Source organism: Homo sapiens, chromosome 1 (genome assembly GCF_000001405.40).
Source record: "Homo sapiens chromosome 1, GRCh38.p14 Primary Assembly".
Classification (NCBI taxonomy): Eukaryota; Metazoa; Chordata; class Mammalia; order Primates; family Hominidae; genus Homo; species Homo sapiens.
Window position 1 is genome coordinate 24334191 of NC_000001.11, and position 18315 is coordinate 24352505.

The 18315-nt window shown below is 53.3% G+C and overlaps 1 protein-coding gene across 6 annotated transcripts in view, besides 7 other annotated features; it reads left to right on the forward strand.

Moving 5' to 3' along the window:
• Positions 1-18315, forward strand: part of GRHL3 (grainyhead like transcription factor 3) — a 45126-nt gene that overhangs the window by 14834 nt on the left and 11977 nt on the right. For all 6 annotated transcript variants that reach the window (NM_198174.3, NM_001195010.2, NM_198173.3 and 3 more), the window contains 13 exons: positions 455-516; positions 2292-2637; positions 2888-2961; positions 3446-3599; positions 3802-3913; positions 5478-5572; positions 7925-8083; positions 8504-8582; positions 8702-8835; positions 10707-10741; positions 12363-12451; positions 13278-13363; positions 15868-15932. In NM_198174.3, the coding sequence (NP_937817.3) occupies positions 455-516; positions 2292-2637; positions 2888-2961; positions 3446-3599; positions 3802-3913; positions 5478-5572; positions 7925-8083; positions 8504-8582; positions 8702-8835; positions 10707-10741; positions 12363-12451; positions 13278-13363; positions 15868-15932 (1490 nt within the window). The remainder of the gene's footprint in view (positions 1-454; positions 517-2291; positions 2638-2887; positions 2962-3445; positions 3600-3801; positions 3914-5477; positions 5573-7924; positions 8084-8503; positions 8583-8701; positions 8836-10706; positions 10742-12362; positions 12452-13277; positions 13364-15867; positions 15933-18315) is intronic.
• Positions 726-1348: an enhancer, noted in NCBI's record as "NANOG-H3K4me1 hESC enhancer chr1:24661406-24662028 (GRCh37/hg19 assembly coordinates)". NCBI's record gives its function as "activates a minimal SCP1, AML or CMV promoter by ChIP-STARR-seq in naive H9 embryonic stem cells {active_cell/tissue: H9 hESC(naive)}" and the evidence as "EXISTENCE:reporter gene assay evidence [ECO:0000049][PMID:30033119]".
• Positions 3334-3962: an enhancer, noted in NCBI's record as "H3K4me1 hESC enhancer chr1:24664014-24664642 (GRCh37/hg19 assembly coordinates)". NCBI's record gives its function as "activates a minimal SCP1, AML or CMV promoter by ChIP-STARR-seq in naive H9 embryonic stem cells {active_cell/tissue: H9 hESC(naive)}" and the evidence as "EXISTENCE:reporter gene assay evidence [ECO:0000049][PMID:30033119]".
• Positions 3963-4589: an enhancer, noted in NCBI's record as "H3K4me1 hESC enhancer chr1:24664643-24665269 (GRCh37/hg19 assembly coordinates)". NCBI's record gives its function as "activates a minimal SCP1, AML or CMV promoter by ChIP-STARR-seq in primed H9 embryonic stem cells {active_cell/tissue: H9 hESC(primed)}" and the evidence as "EXISTENCE:reporter gene assay evidence [ECO:0000049][PMID:30033119]".
• Positions 8369-9183: an enhancer, noted in NCBI's record as "H3K27ac-H3K4me1 hESC enhancer chr1:24669049-24669863 (GRCh37/hg19 assembly coordinates)". NCBI's record gives its function as "activates a minimal SCP1, AML or CMV promoter by ChIP-STARR-seq in primed H9 embryonic stem cells {active_cell/tissue: H9 hESC(primed)}" and the evidence as "EXISTENCE:reporter gene assay evidence [ECO:0000049][PMID:30033119]".
• Positions 17081-17170: an enhancer, noted in NCBI's record as "active region_394". NCBI's record gives its function as "activates an Ori minimal core promoter by ATAC-STARR-seq in GM12878 lymphoblastoid cells {active_cell/tissue: GM12878}" and the evidence as "EXISTENCE:reporter gene assay evidence [ECO:0000049][PMID:35858748]".
• Positions 17211-17340: an enhancer, noted in NCBI's record as "active region_395". NCBI's record gives its function as "activates an Ori minimal core promoter by ATAC-STARR-seq in GM12878 lymphoblastoid cells {active_cell/tissue: GM12878}" and the evidence as "EXISTENCE:reporter gene assay evidence [ECO:0000049][PMID:35858748]".
• Positions 18228-18277: an enhancer, noted in NCBI's record as "active region_396". NCBI's record gives its function as "activates an Ori minimal core promoter by ATAC-STARR-seq in GM12878 lymphoblastoid cells {active_cell/tissue: GM12878}" and the evidence as "EXISTENCE:reporter gene assay evidence [ECO:0000049][PMID:35858748]".

The following is an 18315-nucleotide window of genomic DNA, read 5'->3' on the forward strand; positions in this document are numbered from 1 at the left end:
TAGTCTGTTCTCACGCTGCTAATAAAGACATACCCAGGACTGGGTAATTTTTAAAGGAAAGAGGTTTAATTGACTCACAGTTCAGCATGGCCAGGGAGGCGTCAGGAAACTTAAATCATGGAGGAAGGGGAAGCAAACACATCCTTCTTCACATGGCGGCAGCAAGGAAAAGTCCCGAGCGAAAGGGAGAAAGCCCTCTTATAAAATAATCAGATACGATGAGAACTCACTGTCACGAGAACAGCAGCATGGGAGTAACCACCCCCATCATGCAATTACCTCCCACTCCCATGTGATTATGGGAACTACGATTCAAGATGAGATTTGGGTGGGGACACAGCCGAACCATATCACCAAAGTTACTCCCCTGCCTGGCCAAAGCTGCAGGAGGGGATTGAGGCTCCTACCAGCAGAAGCTTAGCCATGCATAAATCCTTCCTTTCTCTCTTCTCAGGGTCCCAAGGAGAAGCGGATATTGTCCTCCAGCACTGGGGGCAGGAATGACCAAGGAAAGAGGTGAGGCTTGCCAACACCCTCTGCCTCTTTGCCCTTCCCCACCTCCACCTGGAGCCTCTTCCACACAGGTTTGACTTATCCATTAGGCACAGGAGGCACAGTGCTGAGGGCCCACAACACATTTTGGGATTCATGATAATGTTTTCATTTATTTTAAAATTAAAAGAAAAAAATCAATATAATCCAACTTGGATTATATTCATCTTTATACCATTGTACTTACTAAAGATATTTTTAAATGTTTTGGAAGAGGCCAGTGAAGGCAGAGCCTAGGGCTCTTGAAAGTCCTAATGAAACTCAGCTTGAAAACACACACACACACACACACACACACACACACACACACACACACACACAGACACACACCCCAGATGCCTATAGGCCATGTGGGCTGGAGTTTACTGAAAACAAACTTCAAAGCCTTAGTAATAGAAAAGCCCTGGGGACAGCTTTTCTTTCTCAGCTTCAAAACCCTCTCCCCTGAAGACCCACAGCCTCTGGGAGAGGGAGACCTGTGTTGGGGGAGGGAGACCTGTGTTGGGGGAGGGACATCTGGGTTCCCATACTTCTTCCCCTGGCATTAGTGCCCCAGGGCATTGATGTTCCTTTCCTTTAGAAAGCGGCCCAGGCCATGCTTAAGACTAGATGGGCACTGGAAAGACCTTGTCCCTCTTTCTCCACTTTCTCCTTCCTGGCCAATCAGGTGACTTCTCACAAATGACCCTGTAGGGCCTCTGCTGGGAAGCCTTTTGAAAAATTCAAACAGGCATTGCAGCTCATCTCATAACCCAGCCTGGGCCTGCAGCTGGCTCAGGGCCAGTCCCCTCCACTGCCAGGAACAGTGGGTTTGGGTACATGGGGACCTTTCTCAAAACTAATTTTTTTTTTTTTTTTGAGACGGAGTCTCGCTCTGTTGCCCAGGCTGGAGTGCAGTGGCGCGGTCTTGGCTCACTGCAAGCTCCGTCTCCCGGGTTCAAGCCATTCTTCTGCCTCAGCCTCCCGAGCAGCTGGGACTACAGGCTCCCGCCACCTCGCCCGGCTAATATTTTGTATTTTTAGTAGAGATGGGGTTTCACCATATTAGCCAGGATGGTCTCGATCTCCTGACCTCGTGATCCGCCCGCCTCGGCCTCCCTAAGAGCTGGGATTACAGGCGTGAGCCACCGCGCCCTGCCACTCAAAACTAATTTTTAAAAATATCATTAGCTCTTCTGATTACAAAAGCAACACCAGTCTCTTGCAAAAGATTCAAACTCTTCAGAAATGTATAAAGTAAAAAAAAAATTCCTATAATCCTGTACCCCTCTCCCGCTTAACAGTTTGGGGTACATCCTTCCAGATCTTTTCCTAAACATGTGTTAATTGTACTCAGAGATACACGTTTCTTCCACCCTCCCCACTTTGTACACACCCCGCTAGGGTTGACTCAATACAGTTGTTTTGAAGTAGGGACGTTTTGACACAGAGACATTTGACTTTGGCTAAAAATAAACGATTAAACTTTCAGGGTTTTTTTTTTTTTTAATAAGTACTGTAATGGATAAAACAGATGTTGCTCCCTTAACCCTGAGCCTGTGCTTGGTTCCATTCTCAGCACCTCCCTGCTCATCCCTGTGGCCAATTGGGCTGCTACAGTGTCTTATTTCGTGCATGCTGGATGGACCTAAACATTACACTGGATCAAAGGCCAGTGTGTCAGTTGCCTTGCACTCTAGCCAAAGACCCCCCTTTACCCCCAGAGAGAAGTACACTCAGCCCCTTTTCTTTCTCCCCAGGTACTACCATGGCATGGAATATGAGACGGACCTCACTCCCCTTGAAAGCCCCACACACCTCATGAAATTCCTGACAGAGAACGTGTCTGGAACCCCAGAGTACCCAGATTTGCTCAAGAAGAATAACCTGATGAGCTTGGAGGGGGCCTTGCCCACCCCTGGCAAGGCAGCTCCCCTCCCTGCAGGCCCCAGCAAGCTGGAGGCCGGCTCTGTGGACAGCTACCTGTTACCCACCACTGATATGTATGATAATGGCTCCCTCAACTCCTTGTTTGAGAGCATTCATGGGGTGCCGCCCACACAGCGCTGGCAGCCAGACAGCACCTTCAAAGATGACCCACAGGAGGTGAGGGCGCATCCCCGCTCCCCTATAGCATAGATATGTGTGTGCATATACAGAATGAGAGAAGATAGTGAACAGATCAGAGCTTTGGAATCCATGGGGGAAAGCATCCTAGAGCTGAGACGGGATTGCCATGTACTATTGTCCAAGTTGTACACTGTACAACCTGCATAGCTGTAATGCACAGCCCTGGGCTGAGGCTTCCCAGAGTGAATGTGAGCATTTATTCTCTTGGGGCTGTGTTTCTCTGCAGTCGATGCTCTTCCCAGATATCCTGAAAACCTCCCCGGAACCCCCATGTCCAGAGGACTACCCCAGCCTCAAAAGGTAACTTGGTCTCCCTGGACCCTCAGACACCTGGGCAGTGGGCAGGAGGCTGCAGACAGAGCCCCACACTGTCCCCAGAGCATAGCAGGCACAATCAATTAATGAGAAGTGGGGGATGAAGGCAGATAGATAGAGGGAGACAGAATGATTCCCACATCCTGTCCCCGGGCTGTGATAGGGAGCTCAGAACTTGTACCTTATCAGAAAACTGAGGTTCTTTTATCCTTAGTTTTCCCTGGTTTTGTCACCCCTCAAGGTTCTCTCTAATTTTCATTGGGCCCTCATTATTCAGCAGGACTGTGGCTCAACAAAGCCATTAAATAGAACCCCCAAATTGAGGAAACTGGGGCCCAAGGAAGTAAGGTTATTTTCCAAGGTCAAACAGCAAGTCTGTAACATAGCCTCAGGCTTCCTGCCCCACTGCCCTCTAGGAGACTTCCTGCCTGGGAGCCCAGCCTCACTGTCCTCTCCCTCCTCCCTGCAGTGACTTTGAATACACCCTGGGCTCCCCCAAAGCCATCCACATCAAGTCAGGCGAGTCACCCATGGCCTACCTCAACAAAGGCCAGTTCTACCCCGTCACCCTGCGGACCCCAGCAGGTGGCAAAGGCCTTGCCTTGTCCTCCAACAAAGTCAAGGTGCGTTGGCCTGGAGCAGCTTCAGAAGGGGTGGAATGGGGCAAGATATACCTCCTCCTTGGGCTAGCCACGGACCCTGGGGAAAGGCTGTTTGATAATAGCCCATTGCCACAGGGTTGGGGAAACTGAGGCAAAAGGGCAGGCCATTGGAACCAGGCTCTAGGAAGAGGCCGGGAGTGACTGTGACCAACTGTGCTTGCAGAGTGTGGTGATGGTTGTCTTCGACAATGAGAAGGTCCCAGTAGAGCAGCTGCGCTTCTGGAAGCACTGGCATTCCCGGCAACCCACTGCCAAGCAGCGGGTCATTGACGTGGGTGAGAGCCTTCTCAAGCCTCCATTCCAGCTCCCCTCTCTCTCCCCACCCCCGCATCAATCAGGCCTTTTTCTTACTCACCCCTGTTTCCCTACCTGGCTCTGACCTCTGTCTCCAGGTCAAACACCGTGGGGTTTGCAAGGATTTGCATCTGTTGACTAGAAGTTGTGGCGTCTTTTCTGTATTGCTTTGGGATAAACAGGGCCCTGGGGACCCTAGCAGTGTGAGATAAATAGGCTCCTGCGATGCTGGCCTGTTTGTCTCCATCAGGAGGCTGATGAAGACACAAATGCACAAGATAAGGTGCAGGCAGCAGGTTCGGAAGGCCTGAGGCACAGCACAGGACGTTCAGCTTTTGGGAGCTGGGCGGGGGAAAGGCTCCCTGTGGGGGCCACCTGGTCCCCATCCCTAGCCCTGAAACAAGTGGGAGGCACAGCCCGCCCTCAAGTCTTCAGCTTCTGGCTCCCTTACTCCCTTCCTGGCTGTGTGATCTATGTCACCTCACCTTCCTGAGCCTCAGTTTGTTCAACTCTCAAATGGGCTGAGGCCAGCTGCCTTGCCTGCTTACAATGCTGATTTCAGCTTAGCAGCTATGTGCCCTGGGGAACATGATACACACGGGACTGTTTAATGACTTGTCCGAGAGGCTGGATAGCATAGCAGTGAGGAGCATGGGTTCAGGAGCCAGACAGATCTGAGCTTCAGCCCCTATTCTGCCTTTTATTAGCTGAGTGACCTTAGCCAAGTAACCAAACCTCTCTGAGCTTCGTTTTCCTCATATGTAAACTGAATACTCAAAGCATAGTTGTGAAGGATGAACTGAGGGCTTAGCATATTGTAAGTGTTGAAGAAATGGCACTTGCTAGTCCTACTACTTTTGCTACTGCTCTTACTCCCCCTATTACTGTTGTTATTACCATACTGCTGCTGCTGCTTCATCTGGGAGAAGTCCCAAATCACAGCCCTGGTGAAAAGTATAACCTCTACCCCCAACATGATGAGACTATTTGGCAAAGCTTGGGATTCCCTCTGGGGCTTTGGGCAGATCTGCTTCTCAGGCTGGACCTGTTTTCCCATCTGTAATCCAGGGCACAGGAATCCCTTTTCCTCCCTGGATTGAAGTGTGGTTCTTGGGGGAGAGAATGTATGCCCCTGCCAAGAGTGAGGCCCAGTTTTGTCTTTTTTTTTTTTGAGACAGAGTCTCGCTCTCTCACCCAGGCTAGAGTGCAGTGGCGCGATCTCGGCTCACTGCAACCTCCGCCTTCCAGGTTTACTTAGGCCATTCTCCTGCCTCAGCCTCCCGAGTAGCTGAGACTACAGGCGCCTGCCACCATGCCCAGCTAATTTTTTGTATTTTTAGTAGAAACAGGGTTTCACCATGTTAGCCAGGATGGTCTCCATCTCCTGACCTTGTGATCCCCCTGCCTCGGCCTCCCAAAGTGCTGGGATTACAGGCGTGAGAAACCACGCCCGGCCGAGTGAGGCCCAGTTTTTAATGCCTCCCTCCTCAAGTGGTCCCAGATCCCTTCCTTCCTGATTCTCCTTCTGGTCTCCTGTGGTTTCAGCTGACTGCAAAGAAAACTTCAACACTGTGGAGCACATTGAGGAGGTGGCCTATAATGCACTGTCCTTTGTGTGGAACGTGAATGAAGAGGCCAAGGTCAGTGCTGAGGGCAGTGGCTGGGATGGGACTGGGCTGCCTGGAAGTCCCTATTCTGGGGTAGAGGCTTTCTTGCACCTAGGATAGTGTCATTTGCTCCGACGAGGGCACTCATGGAGGAGGCAGGATGCAGTGTAGTATGGAAGCTTGGGCTTTGGAGCCAGGCAGGCTGGGTCCGCATCCCACCCTTCCACCTATTGGTCCAAAGTGTGACTTTGGACCAGTGCCTTAGTCCCTCTGAGCCTAAGTTGTTTTGACTATAAAATAGGAGTGGCATCATAGTACCAACTGGTAGGTTGTAGTGAGGAGCAGGTGAGATAAGTAAAAGGTGGAGCACACGCCTGGCCCAAAAGTGGCAACTGTTGATATTACTCCAGTCCACCCATTTACTAGATGGGAAAACTGAGCCTTTTGCATGGTCACACAGCAAGCCACTGGGGGCACCCACGTTTCCTGACTTCTTGGCCAGCGCAGAATGTCGCATGCAGGAGAAATGCGAAGGAGTCCGGTGAATGAGGGCTCGAATCCCAGTTATCTCACTTCTCTGAGCCTGTAAAAATGAGAACAGTAACCTGCCTGCTAGGATTGGAGTGCAGAGCCCACAAGATCATGCATGTCTACAAACCGGAGAGGCCTGAGAGATGGAGCCTCTGGTGATGTTTTCATGCCAGTAGTTAAGCCATTAAGATTCTTCCAGCCTTAGTGCTTGAGCCCAGCCGCGGGCTTGCCATGTGCGCATGGGCCTCGCTGTGTCTTGGTTTGCTGTTTAGAGAGCCAGCATGGTGGAGAGGCACTAGTGTGGGAGTCAGGAGCTGAGCACCTTCGGCCTGTCCCTTCCCCTCCCTGGACCAGGCTTACCTCACTCAGCAGGGTCAGGTCCAGCTCATCTCAGGGGCATTTCTGGCCTGGAGAGGCTGGGGAGCTAACCCCTGCCTCCCTGCCTGCCTCCAGGGATGGCCAGGCTGCCTGGAGAAGATGGAGGTGCAGGAGCTCAGAAAACACAAAGGGAGCACAAAGGCAGGGATTATTATTATTCAGACTGGCACCGGGCTGGAGGAGGAGCTGGGGCCTTGGGTTCAGGGAGTGGGGAGTTTCGTGGGAAGGGAGAGATGGGTTTCGGTGGGGATTTTCTCACAGCCTTTTAAGCCCCCAGGCTTGGGTCTTTCTCAGGTGCGAGCTGGGCGGGGGCTGCATGAGGGCAGAGCTGGCTGAGGGGGAGGTATGTCTGGCATGTGCCTGGGGGCCTGGTCTGCACAGCCAGGGAAAGAAGGGGGTCTGCTCAGACACACCCCCCCACATCCTGTTTGCATCAGGGTCATTTCCAAAGGAAATGTTCCAAAGACCAGGGGCCAGCCTGCGTCGGGGGGACCGGGGTTCCCATGGAGCCCCAGAGGAGGACAATCACCAGGTGACCTTGCCAGGGTTTGCCCCGCTGAGACTGACCCCAGGCGACCATCAGTTGGGCATAGGCTTTGGGATGAGACTTCCAGCTGTCCCTCTCATGGCAACGGTTATAACATATCAAGCCTACACACCCCACAGCCACACAAGATAGGTTTCATTATCCTCATTCTGCAGACAAGGAAACCGAGGCTCAGTGAGGTGAAAGGATTTGTCTGAAGCCGTATATGGCTAGTGAGCGGCAGAGCCCAGCTTCCTGCAGCAGATGTGGGCGGCCCCTCCTCCAGGCTCACTTTGTTATGCCCCACGCCTGACTCCCTAGGGGAACGGCAGCAATTATAGCCCTGCTCAGAGCATCTGTTTCCCCGGCTGTAAGATGGGGTGACTAGGATGCTCCCTTGCTGTATGTGGGGTGGGATCAAATCAGCTGAAAGAACCTCTCACTAGAGGGTCCTGCTATGGCTGGAGTGGGTGGTTGGGGTGGAGAGGGGCTGTGTCTCTGGGCCAGCAGGAAAGTGGTCTCCTTGTGCTGGGGACAGGGGACTCAGCCCTTTTCCACCTCCTTGTCCTGAGTTGCAGAAAAACGAGGCTCTGGATCTTAAGCTCCTATAGGACTCTTGACATCCCCCCCAGTCTCCACCCCTTGGGCTGCCCTTGGCAGTCTAGCGGAAACTGTACCAACAGCGGTGAAAAGCCTGGGCTGTGAGTCTGGGTTCAAACCCCTGCTGCACCACACACTGCCCGTGTCACCTCGGGAAAGTTGCCCCACCTCTCTGAGCATTGGCTTCCCCATCTGTGAAAGAGGAGTGCTGATGTTTGCCTTCTAGGGGCCTAGTGAGGCTTAAGGGTGAGCAGCAGGCACACAGAAAGCTAGAAATACAGGATCACTGTGGGACGGTGGGGCTGGCCACCTGGGCAGGCCACTTACCCAGCGGCCCCCTCTGTCTCCAGGTGTTCATCGGCGTAAACTGTCTGAGCACAGACTTTTCCTCACAAAAGGGGGTGAAGGGTGTCCCCCTGAACCTGCAGATTGACACCTATGACTGTGGCTTGGGCACTGAGCGCCTGGTACACCGTGCTGTCTGCCAGATCAAGATCTTCTGTGACAAGGTGGCTGGACTGGGCAGACCCTATACTGGGTCCCGGGGAGGTAGAAGGGCCAAACCCTGACCCGTGCGTCCTCCTAGCTTCTCTGGGTTGTCTGTCTCTCTCTGTTTTTCTATCCCTTCTCCTCCTTCCCCTCTCCTCCTCCACCCCCACTCCTCCATCTCTCTGTCTCTCTGAGTTTCTTCTTTTCTGTCTTCTGTCTGTCCGCCTCTCTCATGGCCTGTAGTGACCTCAGGCAAGCAGGGCCAGGCCCCACTGGCCAGGCTGGGCCAGGTAAGTGCTGGTACCTTCCCATTTCCTGGTCTTGTTCTGGAAAAAAGAAGGACCAGAAGCTTGGCCCATATTTAAGATGCAAAGCAGCAGCTGTGAAAGTAGCTAGCCCCTCCCAGGCCCTTGGTGACCCTCTCTCCTTCTCCCCTGCAGGGAGCTGAGAGGAAGATGCGCGATGACGAGCGGAAGCAGTTCCGGAGGAAGGTCAAGTGCCCTGACTCCAGCAACAGTGGTCAGTGGGGATCCAGGGCCTGGGTGGGCTCGGCTGGCGTGAAGGGGAGAAGGAGACCAGAGGTGGGAGGGACTTGAGTGGAGGGACCTCGGGGCACATTGGCTTCCTTCTCCCATCAGGCGTCAAGGGCTGCCTGCTGTCGGGCTTCAGGGGCAATGAGACGACCTACCTTCGGCCAGAGACTGACCTGGAGACGCCACCCGTGCTGTTCATCCCCAATGTGCACTTCTCCAGCCTGCAGCGCTCTGGAGGGGTGAGGCCAGGGCTGGGGTCTCGGGAAGGAGCCGAGAGAGGGTCCTGGCTCCTAGGTGGGGCCTGCCTTAGCACAGACCAGTGGGGAGCAGCCTGCCCCTCAGCCAGTTTCAAGACCTTTATTGAATCATAGGGGTTTAAACATGTATATATGGTCCTATAGCTTCAGTGACCTATTGTATTGAAGAGAAGAATGTTATGAAGAAACAGATTTCGTAACCATTAAAACGTTCATGCTTAGGGCACACAAAGAGGAGGCTTCTGATATCTGACCCCAAATTTGATTGCAGCCCCATGGAATTCTCACGGCAGCACTTGTGGTGCTCACTGTGTGCCAGGTGCGGCTCTGAGCGCTTCCCAGGCATCACCGTCCTTACCCTTCTCTACAGCCCTGGGAAGTCAATAATAATGTCTCCCTGGATCTGTGGGGTAGAAATGGAGGCACAGAGAAGTTAAGAAACCTCCTGAGATTGCACAGCTAGTAAGTGGCAGAGCCAGGATCTGGACTGAGGCACCTGTTCAGAATCCACACCTTTCCCCACTAGCTGCTCCGCCTCTCAAGCAGCCGGGACTGAGCGCCTGGCAGCCAGGAGTGGGCTGGGTTCCCTGTTACAGCTGTCCTCCGAGAGACTGCACCTACCCCCTTTTCCAGGCACGGTCCCACAACAATTCAATGGCAGGGTCAAGACCCCAGAGCCTGTCTCCTAGTGCGCTTCCATACTGGAGAGTCTGAGCATTTCCTTCCTTTAAGGGTACAGCTCCGCACTGTTTCTTCAGGAATATTTATACAAATGGACCTTGGTGTACAAGGCATGTTTAGTGTATTGACTTAGGACAATGAGGTGTAGACAGTGGCGCTGAGAAGAGCGGCCAGTGCTGACAGAGCTTGGCACAGGCGCAGAGCACTGTCTGTGTCCCTCCTCTCTTTGCCATCTTGGGAGCTGCGCTGTGGCCCCGCAGCACAGGCGGCTGTGTGAACCTGTTCTCTCTTGGCTCTCCTCACTCTCTCACCAACTAGAGGCCCTCAGTAAGGAGATGACCACTCAGGGTGAAGGCCCCTGTGGCTAGGTTGACAGTCAACCTGTGGGGGTTGAGGGTGGGCCAGTCTCCACACCTGTGAGCCTGGGAGAGGGGAAGCCCAGGGCAATAGCCAACAGAGAGCCTGAGTTTGAACCCTGACTCTGCCTCCTGCCGGGCGTGTCATCTCTAGAGCTCTCTGCTCTCTCTAGGCCTCAGCTTCTTACCTCACAAGACTGACTGATGCCTGCCCCACACCGCACAGTGCCAGGCACACTGTAGGGTCCAAGAAGAGGGCCTCTGGCCAGGCTTAGTGGCACACACCTGTAATCCCAGCTACTTGGGAAGCTGAGGCCGCAGGATTGCTTCAGCCCAGGAGGTCGAGGCTGCAGTGAGCTGTGATGGTGGGACTGCACTCCAGCCTGGGAGACTCTTTCCCCCCAGAAAAAAAAAAAAAAAAAAAAAAAAAAAAAGCCCTGTTGCCCTTGCTCCCTTGGCCCTCAGCTCCAACTGCCTAGTTACCGGCCGCAGGACCATCTGCAATTCCCAGCCCTTCTGGGCATGCTGGGGCCCAGGTGGGGCTCAGTGTGACTCTGCTCTGACAACATGGCTTTAGCACCTCCTGTGTGTTCATTGAGTCCTTGACCCATCCAGCTCGGGCTGGGTGATTCCTTTCCACTCAACATCTCAGGTCACTTAAGGGCACTTGTCTGAGCAGAATGGGCTAGAAAGGCATTGTAACAGTATTCTCCCCACCTCCCACCAAAAATATTCCTCCCAGAGAGCCTCCAGCAGCCAGGGGCTCCTCTCATTTTCCTGCGTGTGATGGAAAATGTCTTTTTCACTTCATTGCAGGCAGCCCCCTCGGCAGGACCCAGCAGCTCCAACAGGTATGGAGAGAAACAACCACACGCCTCCCTCCACACCTGTGCACCCTCCACACCTGTGCCCCCTCCACACCTGTGCCTCCGCCACACCTGTGCCCCCTCTACACCTGTGCCCCCTCCACACCTGTGCCCCTCCACACCTGTGCCCCCTCTACACCTGTGCCCCTCCACACCTGTGCCCCCTTTACACCTGTGCCCCTCCACACCTGTGCCCCCTCTACACCTGTGCCCCCTCCACACCTGTGCCCCCTCTACACCTGTGCCCCCTCTACACCTGTGCCCCCTCCACACCTGTGCGCCTCCACACCTGTGCCCCCTCCACACCTGTGCCCCCTCCACACCTGTGCCCCTCCACACCTGTGCCTCCGCCACACCTGTACCCCCTCTACACCTGTGCCCTCTGTACCATGCCCACTGTACCATGCCCATTGCCCCCAGCCTGCTTTTCTCCCTGTTCCTTGCAAGCTAGGGTGTGGGGCCAGAGGAGGAAGCCACCAGCTTCTGCCCCCAGCCCCCAAGCTAGATCCATGCTTCTTTCTCACTGAAACTGCCTGGGTTTTTATGGGTTTGTTTTATGTGAAAAGTCGGCGAATCTCTGGCGAGACACCCGCTTGTAAAAAGGGAAAGGAAAAGAGTCTGTGGTGGTGCAGATTCAGAGAGAAGAGGGAAGCTGTGCTGGAGGCTTAGGGGATGAAAACCCTCCATCTCCTTCCCCAACACACCCCCACTGGGGGGCCTAGCTGGGGCCGGCACCCCTTGACACTTTGGCCTAGGAAGGGCCTTTGTGTCCTTCCCTCTGTCAGTCACAGCCTTAGTGCCCTGAGCAGTCCCTTCACCTCTCTGAGCCTCAGCCTACACATTTGTCAGATGAGGAAAACAGCCTCGAGAGGGTGAGGAGGGCGGTGTGGATATGGAATCTTCGTAAGTGGGAAAGCACTTTATGAAGATCATTTGCTGTTATGATCAGTTTCTTCCCTATGAACAAAATGTACTTTTCACTTGGTGCTTTCACCCCAAATTATGTCACTTGTCACCTCACAACAGCCTCAGAGTTAGGCAAGCAGGGTTATTGCCTTGCTTTATGGATGCGGAAACTGAGGCTCAGAGAAGTGAAGTGCCTTCTAGCTGTGAAAGTCACCGCAGCAGGACTGGACCCCAAGCCTGTCTTACTCCAAAGCCCCCAGTCCTTCCACCCCCCCACCCCGCCTCACATCTGACCTGACTTCTTTTAAAAAGGAACGATGATGATGACGATGAGTCCACATTTATTGAGGCCCTCCTGTGCGTCACAGTGTTCTAAGCGCAGTGAGCATGGTCTCCTGTGGCCTCACATCCCTCTATGAAGTATTGCTATCATTGCTTTCTCATCATCCCATTTTATACATGGGGTCACTGATGGGCTAAGGGACTCACCCAGGTCACACACCTAGTGCGTGGCAGGGCTGGGATTCAAACCCAGGCAGTCCAACTCCAGACCTGCTGCTTTACCCCCACTGTCCCTCTGCTTTGCATCCACCCTTGTGTTTTCTTCCCCATTTCTAGGGCCCCTGGAGGCCCAGCAGGGTCCTTGAGCCTCTAGGGGTCCCCAAGTTTCTCACAAGCTCCCCCACTGCCATCCCCACAGGCTGCCTCTGAAGCGTACCTGCTCGCCCTTCACTGAGGAGTTTGAGCCTCTGCCCTCCAAGCAGGCCAAGGAAGGCGACCTTCAGAGAGGTGACCTCCCGCCCTCCTCATTTACTCACCAGGCCCACCCCAGCTCCCACCTCCCTCATGGGCTTTCCCAAAGCCTCCTTGGGGTGGGGCACGAGGCGCTGCCTTACCCCTTGGAGCTAGGTTTAGGTTAAGACTTGGGGGTGGGGGTAAGGAGGGAACCTCAGGCTGCTTGGAGAGACCACCACAGGACTGGCGGCTTCTGTCTCCTGACCTCGTGTGGACGTGGGAGTCCTGGGCAGCTGGCATAGTCAGCAGGCTGATTATGCTGGGCGAGTCCCCCCTCTCCCACTTTTTCTGATGGGGAGTGGGAGAAGGGTGGGGTTTTGATGTCTGGCTTTCTTGCTTTGACCCTCTAAATCTGTTACTTCCTTGGGGTGGGGAACAAGCCCAAACCTCTGGGGGCTGTAGCTGGCCATCAGGAAGAAACCAACTAGCAGCTAAGCTCAAAAGCTTCCAGCAGCCATGAATCGAGCTTTGCGTGGCACCTCGTGTTTCCAGACACTGCCATCAATTCCCACAATGACTCTACGAAACAGCGGACAGAGCCTCCATTTTACATGCAAATAAAATCAGGCTCCGTGATGTTAAAATCACGTTTGCAAGGTCACCTGGCTGGCAGGTAGTAGAGCAGGGGTTCAGACACCCCCACATAAGCACAGCTTAAGAGGGTGCATGGGAATCTGCAGAGCCGGCCAAAGGGCCTCCCAGCTGGGCAAAGACCCGCAGCAGAAGTCAATCTTCAAGTAACGTTTTCAGATTCCCCAGCCCCTGAGATGATCCTGTTCACATTATCTTCCTTGCACTCAAGCTGGCCCTTGCTTTTCAGTTCTGCTGTATGTGCGGAGGGAGACTGAGGAGGTGTTTGACGCGCTCATGTTGAAGACCCCAGACCTGAAGGGGCTGAGGAATGCGGTAAGCTGCCTGTGGACCCCGCCCCCCATGGCAGACCCCCTCTAGGCTCCTGTCCCCACTCCTCACCACGCAGTTCTGATTTCCCACAGGAGGGAACCTTGGCATGCCGGTGGCCTACCCGTCCCACCCTGTCCAGGGGGCCTGAGGGGCCCTGCCGGTGGGGGTGTGCCTCTGCGATGTTATCTCCCAGCCAGAACCCTGACTCCACCCTGGGAGTCGCACACACCATAAATCCTCCTTGATCTGATGGCTGCTGTCTGACAGGCCAGGGTTTTTTGTTGGCTTTGCAAACCTGTTTCTGTTTTAATGGGAATGGAACCCAAAAAGGCCAGGCCCCAGAGACGCTCTCTTTTTCTTTCCCAGGGGGCCTCATTCTGCCTGCTTGTGGTTGGCTGGGGGCCGCTGGCTGGGGTAGCTGAAGGCAATGTCTGTGCAAGGAGACCTTCCCCAGCCCCCCACACCACCAGAGAGTGGGCAAAACAGCCCAGTCCTGAATAAAACCCATAGCCAGCTTTGTGGCTCCACCAAAAACTAAGCAAACACAGCGTCCACCAGGGTCAGCTGTGGCTGAAGGTGGAACCACTCGGAAAAGCCAGATGGTGTCAAGATTTCAGGCTGGCGGAGTGAAAATGGCATCAAATAGTAACGCTAGCTGACCTTTGTTGAAGGCCCACTATGTGCCAGGCAGTTGGTCAGACATGCCGCCTGCACTGGCTCATCATGTGCCCTTAACAACCCTGAAAAGTGGGTACTATTCGTATCTCCTCATTTCCCGCAAGGACACAGCCTCCGAGAGGTCAGGTGACTTGCCAGGGTTACTCAGCTCCAGGTGACAGAGCCGGGATGCCAGCCCAGGCTCTCCTCATGCTACTCGGCTGCTTGTTCTCTTTACGCACCGTCAGCCCTGCTCGGCATCAGCCCCAGGAAGCTGGGCTCACAAAAGACCATTAATGTCACCTAAATATAGACTCAGAGGCTTTGGGTTGGACAATACCTTAAAGGGTCAGCTCCCCATCTAGTGCCTGCACTCCCTCTCTCCAGCAGCGCTTCCAAGCTGGTGCCCACTTTTGACCCGTGTACCTCCAGGAATGGAGAGTTTACTACCTGTGGGGCAGCCCATGGTGTCTTTGTCCAATTTGTCCAATTGATGGTGAGAGAGTTCCTGAGTTCTTCCTTAGATTGACTTGAGATCTTCTTCCTGGTAGCTTTCAGTCACATCATCATTAAAAGAAATAGTCGTCTAAGAACTCTCTTGCCAGGAGGAATCTCTGTTAGGGTAGAGAATAACTGAGAAGCTGAACCTGATCCTTTTTCTAAAATGCCCAGAGAGGATGACCTCCACCTGAAACCCAGGACCTGAGGTTTGCTGCAGCTTCTAGGCAGCTAGTACTAATCAACACCGACGTCTTACAGAGCTGTTTCCCTGGGACAGGCACTGGGCTGAGCCCTTTACACAATCGTCTCAGTTCGTGTGCAGAACCACAGTGTGTGTACATCCTATTACTATGCCCATTTTACAAGTGAGGAAACCGAGGCTCAGAGAAGTAAGAGTGGCCTGTTCGAAGTTCTGCACGTCCAGGTGGTGCAGCTGGGACCAGACTGGATGTGCCTGCCCCAGAGGAAACTTCAGAAGCTCTGGGGAGACAGGCTGACACTGGCTGTGTGATCTCAGGCAGGTCACTCAACAAGCCTCTGACCCACAGTCTCCTCATGCAGGGAAGTAAGTTCCAACATTTTCGGATGTGACGGAGTCAGTTAACCTGGGGTCTAGGCCTTGGGCGCGTGGCTTATGCTGTTTGAGCTCCGCATGCTCGCCCAACAAATGGGCTTAATAATTCCGGCCTAAAAGGGGGAGATGTCTGGGCTTTCCCCTGTCCCAGCAGGGCAAGCAGCATCTTCATTGCTCTGCTTCTGAAAAAAACAACACTGACCGCTTATTCAGGGCTCAGTACGCGCCAGGAGCTGTCTTAAGTGTTTAATGTGGATCAATCCACTTAATTCTTCCAGCAACCCTCTGAGGTGGGCACTGTTCCTGTCTCCACAGGTAGCTTGCACGAGGCCAGCCAGCTGGTACATGGGTGCACCCTCAGCACTAGGACAGTTTCAATATCTCATGGGCAAGTTCAGGGAAATGGTAGATGCTCTTCAGGATATTTTTCAGCCACTAAAAATGCTGCTTGACAAGTGTTTGTTGTGACATAGGAAGGCTTATACTAGGATGATAAGTAAAAAGATATATAAAACCATGTGGAACCTAAAAACATTTATACACACAACCGTACGTACACATGACCAAAAGATGGGAAGATGCACACCCAGATGTTAATGGTGTCTATCTCTGAGAAACAGGATTATAGATGATTGTAATTTTCTTCTTCATATTTGCCCACAATATGCATATGTTTTACTTTTGTAATCAGGAAGTAAAAAAAGTGATGGCATAAAAGACTTGTATAAATCTAGCGTGGGCAGCAGGCAATGAATCACCTGTCTTTTCCTTCCAGATCTCTGAGAAGTATGGGTTCCCTGAAGAGAACATTTACAAAGTCTACAAGAAATGCAAGCGAGGGTGAGTGCCTAGTTCACCCTCCCCCAGCTGGTTGCTCAGTGCTGAGCAATGTTTGTACTTGGCCTTTGTGGAGGGGCTGAGGGGATGTGGAGTTGGGGTGGAGAGCTCCCCAGCCAGGCCAAAGCCACTGGTCACCTCTCCATCTGCAGAGACCAGACATGGGTCACAACTGGGAAGGATGGGAGTGGGAGACAAGTGGAAGGGTTGTTACATATATGACCTCCTGGGTGGGGTGGAGGGAGAAGTGGAGGGTCATGTGTCAGAAGACCCAGGTTCAAGGCCACTGGGAAACCAAGCCATTTGATTATAAAGATAATGATTATAGTGACCACCATCCCCTTGAGCACTCACTATGTGTCAGACACGAGGCTAAGCACACACTACTTAACTCTCACAACCATACTAAGAGGTAAATACCATAGTCCTCATTTGACAGATAAGGAAACTGAGGCTCAGAGGTAATAAGCAGTGTTCAGGGGCAGGAGAAGTGGATCAAAGGCATGAGGCAGGCAGGCCCAACAAAGTTGTTACTGACAGAGCCGTAGGCAGGAAGGGAGTGGCTGGCGATGAGTCTGGAAAAGGAGTTGTGATTGGGAGTCATTTTGAGGGAATCCAGCCAGGGATGCTCCACAGGCCTCCTCCATCTTTGCTAGACAGACTAGGCCAGGAATAAAGCTGTACCCTCCAGGGGGCAGGCAGTGCCTGGCTGCCTACCATGGGCTCCTGGGCACCAGAGTACCTTTGTTGTCTGCTCAGAAGATCCCTTGGGAAAGGGAGGTAGGGTCACATGGTAACTGTCCTCCAGACATCAGTCCCCTGGTCAGAGCTAGTGAGCCTGTCCTCTGCAGCCCTTCCTGAGTAGGTGACTTCACCAGCCTGGCATAGGGCCCCCAGACAGTGAGGAATTGTCATTGCTGTTGCCAGCCCAGAGGCCCCAGAACCAGAGCCCTGGGAAATGCACTCCTAGCCCCTCTGCCCACAGCTCCAATCTGATCCTCTTGCTGTGGATAGTCTAACTCGAGCGACATTTGCTAGTAGCCCCTTGGAGGTGCTCAGCCACTTGCCCCGTGGCTACTGCAAGTGGATCTTCCTTTGTAGAAGACTTTGCAAAGCGAGGCAAGTTTTGTACTCAAGCTGAATCCCCATCTCATCAGGCCTAGGGGCCTGGCCGCCTTCCTCACAGGCCCAGCCCTGCCTGCCTTCCTCCTCCTTGGTTCCTTCCTAGCCTTCCATAGAAGGCTGAGGGTGGGGGAAGGTGTCCATCCCTGCAGCCCCTGGGAAGGGGGTTTTTTTTGGTTTTAGCTGCATGCATGTCTAGAGTTTTTCGTGTGTCTTTTTTTTCCAAGTTTCGGTTTCCATCTGAGTCTCACATGCTCTGTAGAGTGAAATCCACTTCACGGCAAAGGGCAGGCTCTGCTTTCCCCAGACAAGCCCAGCCCCACTCTCCCTTCAGCTCCAGTGCCCATGCCCCCTGGCTCCAGCCCCACCTGTGGCAGGCCTCCCTTACCAATCCCACTCCAGGCCAGGCTGTGTGATTGCATGGGGGGGTGGGAGGGTGGGGTGTGTGTACAAGGATGTTCCCCAGCCCCACTGGCTGAGTTGCCAGAGGCTTCCCCTTAAGCCCCAGCCAGCTATTGAAATCATAATTCTAAAACCTTCCATTTATGGGGCACTTCCTACATGCCAGGCACTGGGCTGCATCACTCCCAAGCATCATCTCGTTGACCCTTTGAGCTGGGTATCATTATCTCTGTTTGTACGTATGGGGAAACTGAGGTCTGCAGTAGTTACAAGGTCATGAGTTAGGAACTGGCAGAAGCATCTTGGACTTCTAAAGCCTGTACAGGCATCCACTCTGTTATCCTGCCTCCTGCTTGTTCCTCTAATCACTACGCAATGTGCAAATAAAGGATGCAGCCAGGCTGGCCAGTTTATTTGCCCAGCACCATAGCCAGGGCATCACTCAGCAGCCCTTCACAGGCACCCCACACACCCCCACGGCCGTGAAAACATCAGCCCCAGGACTGTCTGAAATGTCTGAATGACAGTGTTCCCCAAAATAGATCTTAGGAGAGGAGAGGCCAGGCTCATCTTCTGCCTCCCTCTGAGTCCTCATGTGAGAAACAGGAAATTCTGATCAAAGGCCTGGTTTATTTTCATAAAACCCTCCCGAAAGTCCTCTGGATGAAGGTGGATAGAGTCAGCTTTACAGGCCCCACTAAGTGCTGCAAAGATGAGCAAATACATTGTTTTTGCTGGCAGCTGGCCAGGGGTTTAATGTGACTCAGGACTGAAGACAGCTAGAAGGTGGCAAGTAACAAGAGGCCCACATTTGGTGACAGTGGTACTGCCTCTCAGGGGCCCGCTGTCATTAACTTTTGAG